The sequence below is a fragment of the Homo sapiens genome, chromosome 10 (genome assembly GCF_000001405.40).
Source record: "Homo sapiens chromosome 10, GRCh38.p14 Primary Assembly".
Classification (NCBI taxonomy): domain Eukaryota; kingdom Metazoa; phylum Chordata; class Mammalia; order Primates; family Hominidae; genus Homo; species Homo sapiens.
Window position 1 is genome coordinate 94,583,470 of NC_000010.11, and position 16,711 is coordinate 94,600,180.

At 35.9% G+C, this 16,711-nt stretch overlaps 1 protein-coding gene across 11 annotated transcripts in view; it reads left to right on the forward strand.

Annotated features, from left to right (window-relative positions):
* The window catches only part of HELLS (helicase, lymphoid specific), a 68,118-nt gene that overhangs the window by 37,682 nt on the left and 13,725 nt on the right, over positions 1-16,711 (forward strand). For 10 of the 11 annotated variants that reach the window (XR_007061960.1, NM_001289071.2, NM_018063.5 and 7 more), the window contains 9 exons: positions 4,760-4,921; positions 6,944-7,083; positions 7,169-7,307; positions 8,760-8,843; positions 8,926-9,045; positions 10,030-10,146; positions 11,226-11,385; positions 13,391-13,487; positions 13,566-13,642. Coding sequence is in view for 10 of the 11 variants with exons in the window: in NM_001289071.2 (NP_001276000.1) it covers positions 4,760-4,921; positions 6,944-7,083; positions 7,169-7,307; positions 8,760-8,843; positions 8,926-9,045; positions 10,030-10,146; positions 11,226-11,385; positions 13,391-13,487; positions 13,566-13,642 (1,096 nt within the window). In the remaining variant the exon portion in view is untranslated. Of the gene's footprint in view, positions 1-518; positions 657-4,759; positions 4,922-6,943; positions 7,084-7,168; positions 7,308-8,759; positions 8,844-8,925; positions 9,046-10,029; positions 10,147-11,225; positions 11,386-13,390; positions 13,488-13,565; positions 13,643-16,711 lie in introns of all 11 variants that reach the window. The other variant, NM_001289067.2, reaches the window with a different exon arrangement.

Here is a 16,711-nt window from a genome sequence, read left to right on the forward strand (position 1 = left end):
AGGGTAATCTAGTCATATGGGCCTGAAAAGCTTCTCAGTTGTGGTTTAGCAATTTTATTCAAAGTCTTTATCGTTTTTTCTGATATTAAAGTTTATACATGTTCATGAGAAAAACGTGAAGCAGGAGAGAAGTGAAAAGTAAAAATATCACTTCCTCTTAAAATTGTATTTCCTAGCAGTGCATGTGGAATGATTATGTTGTGTTATATGACAATCCAAACTCTTTTCTGTCTTTGTGTAAACACGTGTGTTTTATCTATATTTTATGAAGAAAAGGACTTTAAAAATAAAATTGTTCCTTAAGATAGTCTTTTAAACAGTTATCAGAAAATTATTTTCCTTTTACTACATGTAGATTTAAATCAGTTTTTAATAGCTGCTTATTATCCCATTGTCTTGTTCTACTATAATTAATAATATCTATCTCTTCCTCTTTTCAAAATTTTCAACAATATAAACAAGGTTGTAGTATCTGTATTTAAAACTACACCTTTGCCCATTTCTGGCTATTTCCTTAGGAAAGAATTCCTAGAATGTATGTGTCAGAGTTTACAGATGAGGGCTTCTTTGAAGGCAAATTGCCCTCCAGAAAAGATTTATATGATATACGTCCATATGAAAATACTTATTTACTCAAGCTTCATACCAATTTTGAGGTTAGAAGTCCTTTTCAGTGTTGCAGAGATTAAAAAGGATGATTATTGCTGAATTGAGATGTTTATTGACTATTGGTAGTTCCTTGTGGCCATATTCCAACATGTGTTGGAATATTTATTTATTAATGGTTTATAATAACTATATGTTAAAAATAAGTTAATGTTGCAAATAATTTCTTTCCCCTCACTTTTTGGGATAAACTTTGTTTATGGTATCTTTGTGTGTGTTCATGTGCACAAGCGTGTGTGTTTATATTTAAAATTTTCTTTTTTTCCCACTGTGACTCTGGGCAATGACAGAAATTTCAATGCACCAATAGTTATAGAAGCTTTTAAATGTCCCAGTCTGAATTATTGGAGTAAATGACTTATTTAGGAAGAGATGTGTTTGGATATCACATCCTCATCAGTAGTGTATACATCCATATAGTGTAGCAAAGGATTAAGTTTCTGTTCTTAGGAAATTTAATTAGAGTCAAGACAATGAATATTTATAGAATTTGTCACTTACACGTTACCTCACAGTGTATACAGGTAGATAGATATTCCTTAGAAATGATCATCTGCCTTTTGATTGAACATTTGTAGTAATTGTCATAGTTGATAATTCCATAAGAGGGCTCACTGGAATTGTTTTACTATAGATAACTTCAGATTTCCATTAATATTAAGATATGATAATGAACTTTTATTATATCCAAATTCAACAGTTTTATCAAAAATAGGGGCAGTTTTGAATGTTCTAGCAATAAGAATATTCTCTGTAATACTGTGCTTAAATTTGAGTTTATATTACTTTTACGCTTTGTCCTAATTATGTTTTAATGCATTACTACAGGAAAAAGTTTTCATTCAAAATGAATTCAGATTAGGTGGAGATAGTTTTAAATCGCTAGTATATTTTCTTAACTATTTTCTATATGAAAGAATTCCTTTCCTTTTTTTATGCAATGTTTACATAAACCTTGCATAGTAAAAAAAATTTTTTTTACTTTCCGTTTAAAGTTCTCTAAGCTTGCTACTTTTCTATTTCCACCCCATATTGAAGGCCAAAAGCAGTATAACCTTTACAAATTAATTATTTAAAATTTTTTATTTTAAAATTATGCGTACACGGTAAGATATTTTTAAATGTTATAAACATTTAGAAATTAAAAAGTAAGAAGTAAAAATTTCTGTTTTCCTTCTGCACTTCCTTTCTTATCTCCAAAGTATAACTAATAGTTTTTTTGTTTTGTTTTTTTTTTTTGTTTGTTTTTGTTTTTTTTTTTGTTTTTTTGGTTTTTTTTTTTTGAGACAGAGTCTCACTCTGTTGCCCAGGCCTGGAGTGCAGTGAGCGTCTGCCTCCCAGGTTCAAGCGATTTTCCTGCCTTAGCCTCCTGAGCAGCTGGGATTACAGGCGTGTGCCACCACACCTGGCTAATTTTTTTGTATTTTTAGTGGAGACGAGGTTTCACCATGTTGGCCAGGCTGGTCTTAAACTCCTGACCTCAAGTGATCTGCCCGCCTTGGCCTCCCAAAGTGCTGGGATTACAGGTGTGAGCCACTGCACCTGGCCAACAGATTTTTTTTTTTTTTTTTAGAGACAATGTCCTACTATGACATCCAGGCAGGAGAGTAGTGGTGCCATCGTTGGTTATTGGGTTGTTATCTGCAGCCTCCAACTCATACTCCTGGGTTCAAGTGATCCTCCTGCCTCAGCCTTCTGAGTTGCTGGAACCAAAGGTGCATGCCACCAGGTCCAGCTAATTTTTGGTAGATGGGTCTTGTATAAGTCTTGTTTTTGTCTGCTTTGAAAGCTTGTATACTAGGAAAAACATATATAAATACCTTTTTTATACATGTGTTTCAGCGGTATAGTGTGCCTCTTCTTCCACATATTTGCCATTTCAGTTAACATCAAACTATAGCATTTGTCAGTGCATGTGGTAGAAAAATATCTGGTTATTTCATGTTTTCCTTACAGACATGGACATGTTTTTTTTAATTTTATTTATTTATTTTTATTTTTTTGAGACAGAATCTTGCTCTATTGCCCAGGCTGGAGTGCCGTGGTGCAATCTCGGCTCACTGCAAGCTGCACCTCCCGGGTTCACGCTATTCTCCTGCCTCAGCCTCCCGAGTAGCTGGGACTACAGGCGCCTGCCACTACGCCTGGCTAATTTTTTCTATTTTTTAGTAGAGACGGAGTTTCACTGTGTTAGCCGGGATGGTCTCGATCTCCTGACCTCGTGATCCGCCTGCCTTGGCCTCCCAAAGTGCTGGGATTACAGGCGTGAGCCACCGCGCCCGGCCGGACATGTTTTAACATGTTTATGAAACATTTACATATTTTTCCTGATTGCCTGTCGGCATATTTGTTTTTGGGTTGGTAGATACCAACACTGGTAATGTGTTTACTATCTTTGGTAATAGTCTGTCTATGATTAGCTCTATACCTGTTGGGTATTTAAGTCCAGAGTCCTGAAAATGAGCTTTATTATATATGATTACTATATGTAAACCATTGTCAGTATTTAATGGCAGGGGTATAAAGAGTATACAATTATTTGTTTATTATTATTAGTAGTAGTAGTAGTATTTTTTTTGAGTCAACGTCTCTGTCGCCCAGGCTAGGGTGCAGTGGCAAGATCTTGGCTCACTGCAACCTCTGTCTCCCAAGTTCAAGCCATTCTCCTGCCTCAGCCTTCCGAGTAGCTGGGATTCTGTAATCCCGCCACCACGCCTGACTAAATTTTTTTGTTTTTTTAGTAGAGACGGGATTTCACCATGTTGGCCAGGCTAGTCTCAAACTTCTGACCTCAGGTGATCTGCTCGCCTCGGCTTCCCAAACTGCTGGGATTACAGGTGTGAGCTACTGCGTCCGACCTAGAGTATACAATGATTTTAATCTAGTATTTGTGCTCTTTTAGTGACCCGAATATTTTAATGCATAATTATTGTCTGTTGCTTCTGTGTTCTCTTTATAAATGTGATAATCATTTGTAACCACCCCAGCTAATGAAAGAGAATAATTTTAAGCCTGAAACTTTAGAACTTATAGAAGGAAACTTGTATGTCTGCATCCCTAGGTCAGCTGGCTTTTTACTGAGTCTTAAAACCTCATTCTATTAAAAAATTTTTAATTTTTAAAAAAACTTTTAGTTTTTTGGGTACATAGTAGATGTATATATTTATGAGGTATATGTTTTGATATTGATACAGAAATGCAATGCATAATAATCATATCATGGAGAATGGGGTATCCATCCCTTCAAGCATTTGTTACCCTTTGTGTTACAAATGATCCAGTTATACACTTTTGTGTGTGTGTGTGTGTGGAGACAGAGTCTTGCTCTGTCACCCAGGCTGGAGTGCAGTGGCACAATCCTGGTTCACTGCAACCTCTGCCTTCCAGGTTCAAACAATTCTCCTGCCTCAGCCTCTTGAGTAGCTGGGATTACAGGTACCCGCCAGCACACCCAGCTAATTTTTGTATTTTTAGTGGAGATGGGGTTTCACCATGTTCACCAGGCTGGTCTCAAACTCTTGACCCAGGTGATTCACCCGTCTTGGCCTCCCAAAGTGCTGTGATTACAAGTGTGAGCCACCGCACCTGGCCTCTAGTTATACTCTTCTTTATATTTTAAAATGTAAAAGTTAAATTATTATTGACTGTAGTCACCCTGTTGTGCTACCAAATATTAGGTCTTATTATTTCTACTTTTTGTACTCATTATTTCAAATATTTTTAATTTTTATTCATTTTTATTATTTCCCCTTTTGTATGGTGCTGATAACATCTCATTCTAAAAGTTGTGGGCTATAACTGAAACTTCAACCCTAAGAAATACAAATGCTACCTTTATATTTTTACTTTTAAAATTATTTGAGATAGATTCTTACAGTTTTTAAAAGAAAATAAATTCTGAAATGCTGCGGACAACTGTGAGTTTATCATTTGGTCTGGTCTGGGAAAATCTCAAGATATTTTCACCTTTTGAGATTTGGCATTATTTATATAGGAAGTCAAAAGATAAGGTAAAGGAGTATATGGGGACAGTATTCCTTGAAAAACAAGAATGTTTAATACTCATATTTTTCTGTTCATGTTTTAATTTTAGATTTTAACACCTTTCTTATTGAGAAGACTGAAGTCTGATGTTGCTCTTGAAGTTCCTCCTAAACGAGAAGTAGTCGTTTATGCTCCACTTTCAAAGAAGCAGGAGATCTTTTATACAGCCATTGTGAACCGTACAATTGCAAACATGTTTGGATCCAGTGAGGTATAGTGGTTTTGAAATGTACTGTAAATGAAACTTGACATATAAAATTTCTCTTTTTTCCCTTTTTTTTTGAGAGAAGGTGTCGCTCTGTCACCCAGGCTGTGGTGCAGTGGCACAATCACTGCTCACTGCAGCCTTTACCTGCCTGGCTAAATTTTTTGTATTTTTTTGTAGAGACTGGCATTTCGCCATGTTTCCCAGGTTGGTCTCAGACTCCTGGGCTTAAGCAGTCCACCCACCTTGGCCTCCCAAAGTGCTGGGATTCCAGGTTTTAGCAATTGTGCCTGGCCTAAATTCCAGTTTTAAGGTCCCCTTGTTCATTTTTAGGACTTGGGTGAATTTCTAACTGGGGTATAAGGCATAAGGCTTAGTGGCAAAAGTTGTTTCCTAGTATCTGGAGTCCTGCTAAAATGTTAAGTGATAATCTTTGTATTAATTGCTTTACAGTCATCTGGAATACTTACTAAAAATTTAGGCCAGGCACGGTGGCTCATGCCTGTTATCCCAGCACTTTGAGAGGCCGAGGCGGGTGGATCACCTGAGGTCGGGAATTTGAGACCAGTCTGACCAACATGGAGAAAACCCTGTCTCTACTAAAAACACAAAATTAGCTAGGCGTGGTGGCGCATGCCTGTAATCCTAGCTACTCAGGAAGGCTGAGGCAGGAGAATCACTTGAACCCGGGAGACGGAGGTTGTGGTGAGCCAAGATTGTGCCTTTGCACTCCAGCCTGGGCAGCAAGAGCGAAACTCCGTCTCAAAAAAAATAAATAAAAAAAAAATGTATATTTCCGTACAGATTAACTCTAATCATGCTTTCTGGAGATGAACTTGGAAATGCATTTTTAACAAGCACACAGGTAGGTATTTGAGAATCCCTGTACTAAGGACTTGGCAACTAGACTAATCTCCAGATATACAGATTGAGCATCCAAAATCTGAGTTGCTCCAAAATTTGAAACTTTGAGTGCTGATATGAAACTGAAAGGAAATGCTTATTGGAGCATTTGTATTTTCCCGTTAGGGATGTTCTACCTGTACAGTTTCCTTACAGAAGGTTATTGATAACCAAAAAGATTAATAATCAATTTGATGATGATTATTCATCACCCACCATATTATAGGAGATAGAGGTGGGATGTTATTATCATGTAACTGAAGGAGACCCTTAAGTTTTGTTTAACTTTCCAGGTTTTTTATTGTACACTATAAACCTACGTATTTTCTTTTCAAAATATTTATTGTGATGCATTTTTAAACAATAGGACCACCAGACTCTTCTCCCCCCGACTTTTTTTTTTTTTTTTTTTTTTTTGAGACAGAGTCTCGCTGTGTTGCCCAGGCTGGAGTGTAGTGGCATGATCTTGGCTTACTGCAAGCTCCGCCTCCCGGGTTCATGCCATTCTCCTGCCTCAGCCTCCCGAGTAGCTGGGACTACAGTCGCCCGCCACCACGCTTGGCTAATTTTTTCTATTTTTGAGTAGAGACGGGGTTTCACCATGGTAGCCAGGATGGTCTCGATCTTCTGACCTTGTGATCTGCCCGCCTCGGCCTCCGAAAGTGCTGGGTTTACAGGCGTGAGCCACCGTACCCGGCCTCTTCTCCCTTTTTAATAATTAATTATAATTAAAGGAAGGGTCTAGCCGTTTACAAATTTACATTATTTGTCTGTTAATGAGCAATTTCATAATGAGCAGTTTCATGCAGTGTTACACCAGTCTGAAGAAATATCCTCTGTACTGCAAATTTCCGGAGCCATATTTCAACTTTAAGGTATTAAATCCTTTTGTGTAAGTTCAAAGTAGTTTTATACACCCTTCATTTTTACCTATTGAGATATGAAGGCCCTTCCTCTTACTTTCAGATATTGTTGTCCATGTTAAAATTAAACTAATTTCCCACAACATTTGTATTTGTCTATAGATTGTCATTTTGTACATAAAATATGCCTTATTTTGTTTACATTTAGAACCTAAGGACATAGCTTTATAAACTGAATTTCTTTTAATTCGTTCCCTTTTAGAAAGAAACAATTGAGTTAAGTCCTACTGGTCGACCAAAACGACGAACTAGAAAATCAATAAATTACAGCAAAATAGATGATTTCCCTAATGAATTGGAAAAACTGATCAGTCAAATACAGCCAGAGGTGGACCGAGAAAGGTTTGAATTCAAAAGTGAATTTAAGTATTCTTTAAACTGTGACCATTTTTTGCATTTCCCATATATGCATTATTTGTTTTGGTAGAGCTGTTGTGGAAGTGAATATCCCTGTAGAATCTGAAGTTAATCTGAAGCTGCAGAATATAATGATGCTACTTCGTAAATGTTGTAATCATCCATATTTGATTGAATATCCTATAGACCCTGTTACACAAGAATTTAAGGTGAATACTGTTTAATTCTAATTTACTGTTTTGATTTCCATTACTTTTATATTGGTGGAAAGTGTTACTTTTTTTGATTATAATTATTAAAAATAAGTATGGTGCTATTTGTCATGAAGATTGTAATCCTTCAGTAAGCTGAGACAGTCTTCTTTCCGAAATTTCAGAGAACCTTATCAGGGTTAGAAAAATGGTCACTTTCTATGAGCAACTAGTTTTTTAAATTTTTTTATTTTTTATAGAGACAGGGTCTTGCTATGTTTCTCAGGCTGGTCTCAAACTTCCTGGTTTCTCAGGCAATCCTGCCTCAGCTTCCCAGAGTGCTAGGATTACAGGCAAGAGCCACCACGCTTGGCCTCTATGCAACTTATATTTTTATTTACATATTTTATGTGAACAACTAAGAATTCTAAATTTAGTAATTGATTTGTACTCTGCATGTTTACTTGTTATATTTTAGAGAGAGTGGTCATCTTTTCACTATTTCTTTTATCATTAATATTTGGCTTATCAAAATCAGCCTGGTTGCTCATTGCTTAAAGATCAACAGGTAGCCATAGAATAAAACCAGTTTTGATTTGGAGGTTTTCAAATTAAGTAAATGAAGTTGCTTTCTTGGGTAGTTGATAGAATGATAGCATAATATCAATAGAAATAAATTCTTAGTAACCCTCAATCACAGTTGTTTCAAGGTAGTTTACAATAGGCTTTTCCACTCCTGGCAATATTGACATTTTGGGCCAGATAATTCTTTCTTAGGAGGTAATGTTCTGTGCACTTAGGACATTTAGCAGCATCCCTGTCTTCTACCCATTAGATGCCACTAGTATTCACTTCCCTCAGTTATGACAACTAAAAAGTTTGCTGCCGCTGCCAAATATACCCTGGGGATAGGTGGAGGGCAAAATTGTCCCCATTTGAGAGGCACTGCTTTACATCTTTATTAGAGTAAGAAGGAAGACAAAACTTTCCCACTCAAATGAAAGTAGCTCTCTCATGAGGGAATTTCACCAGAAGGTGAAAAAGTCTTTGTCCACAATATTTAGATTACTTATCAGCTCCTGTATTTTCTCTTAATTTCTGGTAAGAATTCTAGCAGTAGTTTACATATACATTTAGTTGGAAATAACTCACTTATAAAGAATAAGCCTGAGTATGTACCCATTAAGTTTGACATAATTGTTTTCTTTCACAATGACTTTGAGAGAGGAGTGTTGAGGTTAGATCAAAGTTATATTTGTACTTTGTTTTTGTGAAATTGCTGGTTTTACATTCTAGAGTATGTCTTTGAGTAATAACTATCTTCTGATTTTACAAAGATTGAATAACAGGTCAGTTTTTAAGTTTTTTAAGTGACTTGGCTTTGAAAATTGAACTTTCCAAATGGCTTTTGTTTTAACAAAGCAAATAACAGTTTTCTCTCTATTTTTTCTTCCTTTGCCCCTCCTTAAGATCGATGAAGAATTGGTAACAAATTCTGGGAAGTTCTTGATTTTGGATCGAATGCTGCCAGAACTAAAAAAAAGAGGTCACAAGGTGGTACTTTTGATTGGAATTTTGGATTGTTCAATTATTTTTTTATCAATCATTAGAAATATTAAGATATGTTTAATTTCAGGTGCTGCTTTTTTCACAAATGACAAGCATGTTGGACATTTTGATGGATTACTGCCATCTCAGAGATTTCAACTTCAGCAGGCTTGATGGGTCCATGTCTTACTCAGAGAGAGAAAAAAACGTAAGACTACTTATGTCATACATACCAAACTATTCTTTTATAATTCCTATCTTGATTTCTGAAGTAATATTCCAAATAGACCCACAAATTGATAAAAAGATAGAAATGACCAGAAACCCTGTGGTTTTATCAAAAACAAACATTTTGATTTAGTACTAAGAAGTCTTAATTTTTGATTCACAAATATATATATCTTCTGGCACAATCTTATTAATAATATCCTACTTAACCATCACTGTAAGAATATTGGGATAGCAGGAAATTTTTTGCCTTTTTGCCCTGTCCTCAACTTTCTATTATGAAAATATCAACTATATGGCAAAGTTGAAAAAAAAAAAGCAACTGTAAATCCGCCTACAATCTGCTGTTAACATTTGACTATACCTTTTTAAAAACACATTTCCTGTAATAGCAGCCTTGCTGTATCCATTCAGCATTTAATCCTGGTTTTTTGGTGCATTTAAAAATAAAATATAGATGATACTACCCTTTTCCGTAATGACTTCAGCATATTTTATCTTTTGGGGTAAAATTTACACATACTGAAGCAAATAATGTATACATTTGCTGAATCTTTCTGACAAATGCATATGTAAATTTATACCTAACCCCTATTAAGATATAGAATGTTACCATCAGCCCAGAAAGTTTCCTGTGCCCCCTTCTAGTCAATTCTCCCCTGCACCCACCCCATGTGTTTAGACAACTACAATTTTTTCATCATTTTTTGATATTAGCTTTTCTTATTTAAACATTGTTGTGATACATGGTTTTTAACAAAATTAAGATCTCTTTAATATAGGTGCTTGGACGATAAAGCTAACAGCACAGGTTTTGTTAACATAATTGTTTTATAGATCTGAATGATTTGTTTGGCCTCCTTTGTTTAAGTCTTTAATAGTTGTAATTGAAAACATTTTTCTCCTTCAGTCTTGTTGGTTAATTTATTTTAATCTGTTGTATTTACATCCTTTTTGCTTTTAGATGCACAGCTTCAACACGGATCCAGAGGTGTTTATCTTCTTAGTGAGTACACGAGCTGGTGGCCTGGGCATTAATCTGACTGCAGCAGATACAGTTATCATTTATGATAGTGATTGGGTAAGTTGGAAGTATAGCAAGGAATATGCTGATTATATTTCCATTTTGAATTTTTTTTTTTTTTTGAAATGGAGTCTCACTCTGTTGCCCAGGCTGGAGTGCAGTGGCACGATCTCGGCTCACTGCAACCTTCACCTCCTGGGTTCAAGTGATTCTCTTGCCTCAGCCCCCTGAGTAGCTGTGACTATAGGTGTACACCACAATGCCTGGCTAATTTTTGTGTTTTTAGTAGAGACGGGGTTTTGCCATGTTGGCCAGGCTCTCTTGAATCCTGACCTCAGGTGATCCGCCCACCTCGGCCTCCCAAAGTGCTGGCATTACAGGCTTGAGCCACCACACCCAGCCTCCATTCTGAATTTTTTTTTTTTTTTTTTTTTGAGAAGGAGTTTTGCTCTTGTTGCCCAGGCTGGGATTAAGTGCTGGGATTACCAGCATGAGCCACCGCGCCCGGCCATTCTGAATTTTTAATTTTTAATGGTACATGTTACAAATTTACTTATCTATTTTGAAAAGATACCCATTTTCAGCTAAGAGTTATTTCTTCATAAAGTTTTTTGCAAGTAAAAATTGAAAATTTTTTTTTACTTTTGTTTTTAGTGACAGGGTCTCACTATCACCCAGGCTTGAGTGCAGTGGCACCATCACGGCTCAGTAGCCTTGACCTTTTGGATTCAAGTGATCCTCCCACCTCATTCTCTCAAGTAGCTGGGTCTATGGGTGTGCTACCATGCCCACAAAAAATGTAAAAATTAGTGAGACCACGTCTCACTGTTTGCCCACGCTGGTCTTGTATCCTCATATGATCCTCCTGCCTTGGCTTCCCAAAATGCTGAGATTATAGGAGTGAGTCATCGTGCCCATCCTGAAATGTTTTCTTTAGGGTATTTAAACTTTTTTGTTAATATTGTCAAGGATCTGTGGAATGATAATTTTGTCTATGAAGCCACTCTGGAAGTTTAAATTAAGACACCACTATTTAAAAGTTCCTGGCTAGATCATTCATGTTGACTTTATCCACATGAGTTTATGTTAATTTTAACCTAATACCGTTAAATATTATTTTTCTTTTTAACTTTAAGAACCCCCAGTCGGATCTTCAGGCCCAGGATAGATGTCATAGAATTGGTCAGACAAAGCCAGTTGTTGTTTATCGCCTTGTTACAGCAAATACTATCGATCAGAAAATTGTGGAAAGAGCAGCTGCTAAAAGGAAACTGGAAAAGTTGATCATCCATAAAAGTAAATAACACTTATGTAGTGCTTTATTGTTTAAATTGTGCATTGTGTGTTGTGGATTTTGTTTTTATTTTGTTTATAAAATATTACAGCCTGGGCCGAGTTCTGTGTCTCACACCTGTAATCCTAGTACTTTGGGATGCCAAGGTGAGTGGATCACGAGGTCAGGAGTTCGAGACCAGGCTGGCCAAGATGGTGAAACCGCGTCTCTACTAACAATACAAAAATTAGCTGGGCTCGGTGGCGGGCGCCTGTAATCCCAGCTACTCAGGAAGCTGAGGCAGGAGAATCGCTTGAACCCGGGAGGAGGAGGTTGCAGTGAGCCGAGATCGTGCCACTGCACTCTAGCCTGGGTAACAGAACAAGACTCTGTCTCAAAAAAAAAAATATTAACAGCCTGATATGACAGGATTTAAATAAGCAGTGGGGAATTTGGGAGCCTAAACTAAGTTGGTCACCATAGACATAAAAGAAAGAATGTTAGCGAGTATGTAGATATGTAGATGAAGAGCAGATGGGCAGAGAAAAGGGGTCAAGGATAACTACATGTTCCTGATAAGAGATTGGCTTGCTAAAAGTTTTAAGATAAATATTTTGCAAGTTCCATGTATTAAAATATTAAGTGTATTTAAGTGTTATAAAAAATCTATTTATTTATTGAACCCACTGTTTCACAGAATATTTCACTGCAGAATGCCCTTTTTATAGTTTTGGACACTTTTTTTTCCTTTTTCATTTCCTTATCATAACCAGATGGGTCTCAACAATGCTTTTTAATCTAGAAAAAATTCTGAGGAGGTGGGGAACTGACATAGGTGAAAAAGTTTTGTTCCTGAGATTCCTTAGAGAAGTTATACTTCTATCCATTCACCATAAAATTTTCTTTGAATAAATGGCTTGATAGCTACCTGAAGAAATGTTGAAAATCATTTATGTAAATCATCAAGCCCTAGAGAAATGGGAACATGATAATGTTAATGTGAAAAGTAATGTTGGAAATCACTAATAATTTATTTTATACTCCTTTTCCACTTGTAAATACTTTCTCTGGGTTTTGAGGTAAGAGTGTATTAAGGTTTAGACAAAATTAATTTGGTGAAACATTTAGATTGTAATTGGAACTTGCATTGGGGAAAAAGCATAATTTTTTTTTAAGAGACCATTTAACTTTTTTACCCAGGTTGTTCTCGAACACCTGGACTCAAGTGATCCTCCTGCCTTAGCCTCTTCAAGTGTTGGGCTTATAGGTGTGAGCCACTGTGCTCAGCCCTATTTTCGATTTTTTAGTAGATTAATTTTGTAGAAAATTTTGAAGGGATTTTTTTAAATGCTGACATTTTTCAGTTGAGTTATTACATACATACAGCAAAATGCACAGATCTTAAATGTACAGGTTAATGAAGTTTGACCAGATTTATGTACTCCTATGTAACTATCATCGAGATCAAGGTAGCATTTTCATCATCCAAGAAATTTTCTTTGTTCACCCTTTCCAGTAATTCCTATGCTCCCCTTACCATCACTAGGAAGCATCCAGTATTCTGATTTTTGTCACACTGATGAGTCTTTTTTCTGTTTAGCTATTTTGTTGAATATATTTTTTCAACACAGAGTCATCTGTGTTGTTTTTAGTAGAATTTTTTTCTTTTAATTGGTGAATAGTTTGTTTTTTCCATTCTCCTGTTGGTCGACATTTAAATTATTTCTAGATTCTGGTTATTATGAATAAGTTGGTCCTGTACAAGTCTTTGTGGACATAATGCATTTTTTGGTCCTTGATCTTAGGGAGGGTGCGTGTTTAACTACTGGAAACTACCAGCCTTTTCCAAAGTGGACATATCATTTTCCAGTCCTACCAGCGAAGCCTGAGAGCTTCATTTGCTTTTATTTTTTATCAACACTTTTTTTTGCCGTCCTTCTTAATGCAAGCCATTGTGATTGGTTTGTAATATGTTGTATTGTAGTTTTAAAAGGAATTTTAATGTTTTTAATTTCTCATTTTTTTTAGATCATTTCAAAGGTGGTCAGTCTGGATTAAATCTGTCTAAGAATTTCTTAGATCCTAAGGAATTAATGGAATTATTAAAATCTAGAGATTATGAAAGGTGAGTTTTTAATTTTAGAAAGATTTAATTTGTAGCTTTGAATTATTCACATAGACTTGAATATTTTGTTTTCTATAGGGAAATAAAAGGATCAAGAGAGAAGGTCATTAGTGATAAAGATCTAGAGTTGTTGTTAGATCGAAGTGATCTTATTGGTAAGTATTATGCTTTTTTTTAATGGAAGCTTCGAAACATACACTTAATTAGCATAATGTAATGAACCCCTTGTGCAATTCATTCAGCCACATGTATCCAATCTTGTTTTATTGTCATTTTTCTTCTTAGAGTATTAAAATCAAATCTCAGACATGACATTTTGCCCATAAATGTCATTATCTTTAACTTCTTCCATAATTCAGATATTTTCTGTAAACTGGTAAATAACACTTGTAAATGAATATATTCAAGTTCCTGTCTTAGTTAAGAATACCAGTGCTTTGTTCTCATATTTTTCGTCATACCAGGAGGCACATCGTATCTGGATTTCTTATTTCCAGTGAGCTAAGATTAATCAAGATAATGTTATAAAGTGTCTTGTCAGCCTTCATCCTTTACTTAACACGATGATTTATTTTATTTTATTTTATTTTTTTGGAGACAGAGTCTTGCCCTGTCGCCCAGGCTGGAGTGCGCTGACACGATCTCAGCTCACTGCAACCTCAGCCTCCTGGGTTCAAGGGATTCTCCTGCCTCAGCCTCCCTAGTAGCTAGTATTACAGTCGCCTGCCACCACACCTGGCTAATTTTTGTATCTTTAGTAGAGACAGGGTTTCGCCATGTTGGCCAGGCTGGTCTTGAACTCCTGATTTCAGGTGTTGTGCCCACCCCAGCCTCCCAAAGCACTGGGATTACAGGCATGAGCCACTGCACCAAGCCTAACGTGGTGATTTTTAGTATCCCTTGAAAGTGGCTGATAAGAACCATTATTAACTTAATCATTGCAAAATGGTGATTTTTCTTGTTCTGTCATTCTTTTATTAGCTGGGTTATTTAAGAACTTTCCCTTACAGTTTCCCTGAGATAGAAGAGAGCCAGGATATATTGCTTCTTTTTTTTTTTTTTATCAGTTTTTAGAATACCACCTTATGATCTGATGCCTACAGTGATGACCATGAATTATTTTGAAAACAAAAATAATATTTTGTACTTCATAATTTCCTAATTATTTTACAACATATTACTGTCGTCTAGGCTATTGATTATTTGTCTGTTGCATCTGTATGGTGGAGATACTGTATAATCTTTTTTTCCCAACTGTATTCCGTGACATTTTGGTCTTTTGAAATTGGTGATGGCAGTAACATTCATATCACGGATACAGGCAGAAACTAGAAACCCCAGTCTTTGTTTTTAACAAAAAAGGGTCTTGCTTTGTATTCCTGGCTAGAATGCAGGAGTGCGACTATAGCTCATTGCAGCCTAAAAGTCCTGGGCTCAAGGGATCCTCCAGCCTCAGCCTTTGGAGTAAGCTGGGATTATAGGCATGAGCCATTGTGCCTCAGTTTTTGTTTTTTTTGAGACCCAATTGTTAAACATTTACCTGCGTGGCACTGGCTACAGTGTCATGATATCTTATTTTCAAATATGTTGTTCATTTTAAAATTCAATTCTGTGTCTTATTGAATCAAAATAAAATATATTGGTTGGAAGTTTTTTTTTTTTTTTTTTTAATCAGATGTATTTTCCAAACATTTTCTTCTACTCTGGCCTGTCTCTTCACTTACTTACTTAGTATCTTCTGAAGAGCAAAAGTTTTAAATTTTAATGAATTTCAATTTTAACAAATTTTTTTCTGTTCACTCATGATTTTTATGTCATCTGTAACTACTCTTTGCCTAATTCAAGGTGTTGATATTTTCTTTTAATAGTTTTATAGTTTTTGCTCTTACATTTAGATCTATGATCTATTTTCAATGAATTTTCATCTTTTTGCATGTCAATATTAATTTGTTAAAAAGATGATCCTTTTTCTATTGGATGGCCTTGTCATCCTTGATGCAAATAATTTGATCATAAATATAAGGATTTATTTCTGTATTCTCAATTCTGTCCCATTGATCTCTGTGGTATTCCTATGCCAGTATCGCACTGATTTAATTAAGGTAGCTTTATGGGAAGTGTACTTTCTCTAGTTTTGTTCTTTTTCAAAATTGTTTTAGATATTCTGGATTATTTGCATGTTTATTTGAGTTTTAACTTTGAAATAGTTTAGGGAGAAATATGAGACATACAGCATCATGGTCAAATCTAAACTATATTAAAAAACAACATTATGTGAGGCATGTAAGGACTGTTTAACATCTGATAATATAATTCATATCAATTAAATAATGGAGAACTAGATGATCACCTAATTAGATACCAAAAACCAACTTGCCATAATATCGTAATCATCTTCATAATTTTTTTTTATTTGAGACAAAGTCTCGTTCTGTCACCGAGGCTGGAGTTCAGTGGTGTGATCATGGCTCACTGCAGCTTTAACCTGCTGGGCTCAATCAATCCCCACACCTCAGCCTCCCAAGTTGCTGGGACTGCAGGTGTGATTACTATGTCCTGCTAATTTTGTTTTGTGTATTTTGTAGAGACAGGGGTTTGCCATGTTGCTCAAGCTGGTCTCACACTCCTGGGCTCAAGTGATCTGTCTGCCTCATCCTCCTAAAGTGCTGGCATTATCGAAACTGCTTTTATTTGCAAGTGGTCTGGTTTGATTATCTTCATAGGAAGTCCAAGGGAATCCAGAATCTTTTAAAATAGAATTTAAGAAGATTGCTTATTAATAATATGTGTAACAGCAATAATTGTTTAATAATGAAGGTTTTTACAACAGCTACAAAATTAACATGCCTACAATTAAAGTTTAACAATTTTTAACATGTTTATATAAGGACAGAATTATGAAACATTGAAGGACGTTAATAGAAAGACTGAGTAAACATGCAGATTTAGCTGTATTTGTGGATATGAATGGTTACTACAAAGTGTAAGTCAGTGGTCCCCAAAACTAACTTATATTCTTGAATTTTTCTTCTAATTAAAATCCCAGAATGATGGCTGGGTGTGGTGGCTCATGCCTATAATCCTATCACTTTGGGAGGCTGAGGCAGGTGGATTGCCTGAGCTCAGGAGTTAGAGACCAGCCTGGGCAACACGGTGAAACCCTGTCTCTACTAAAATAGAAAAAATTAGCGGGGCATGGAGGCATGTGCCTATAATCCCAGCTA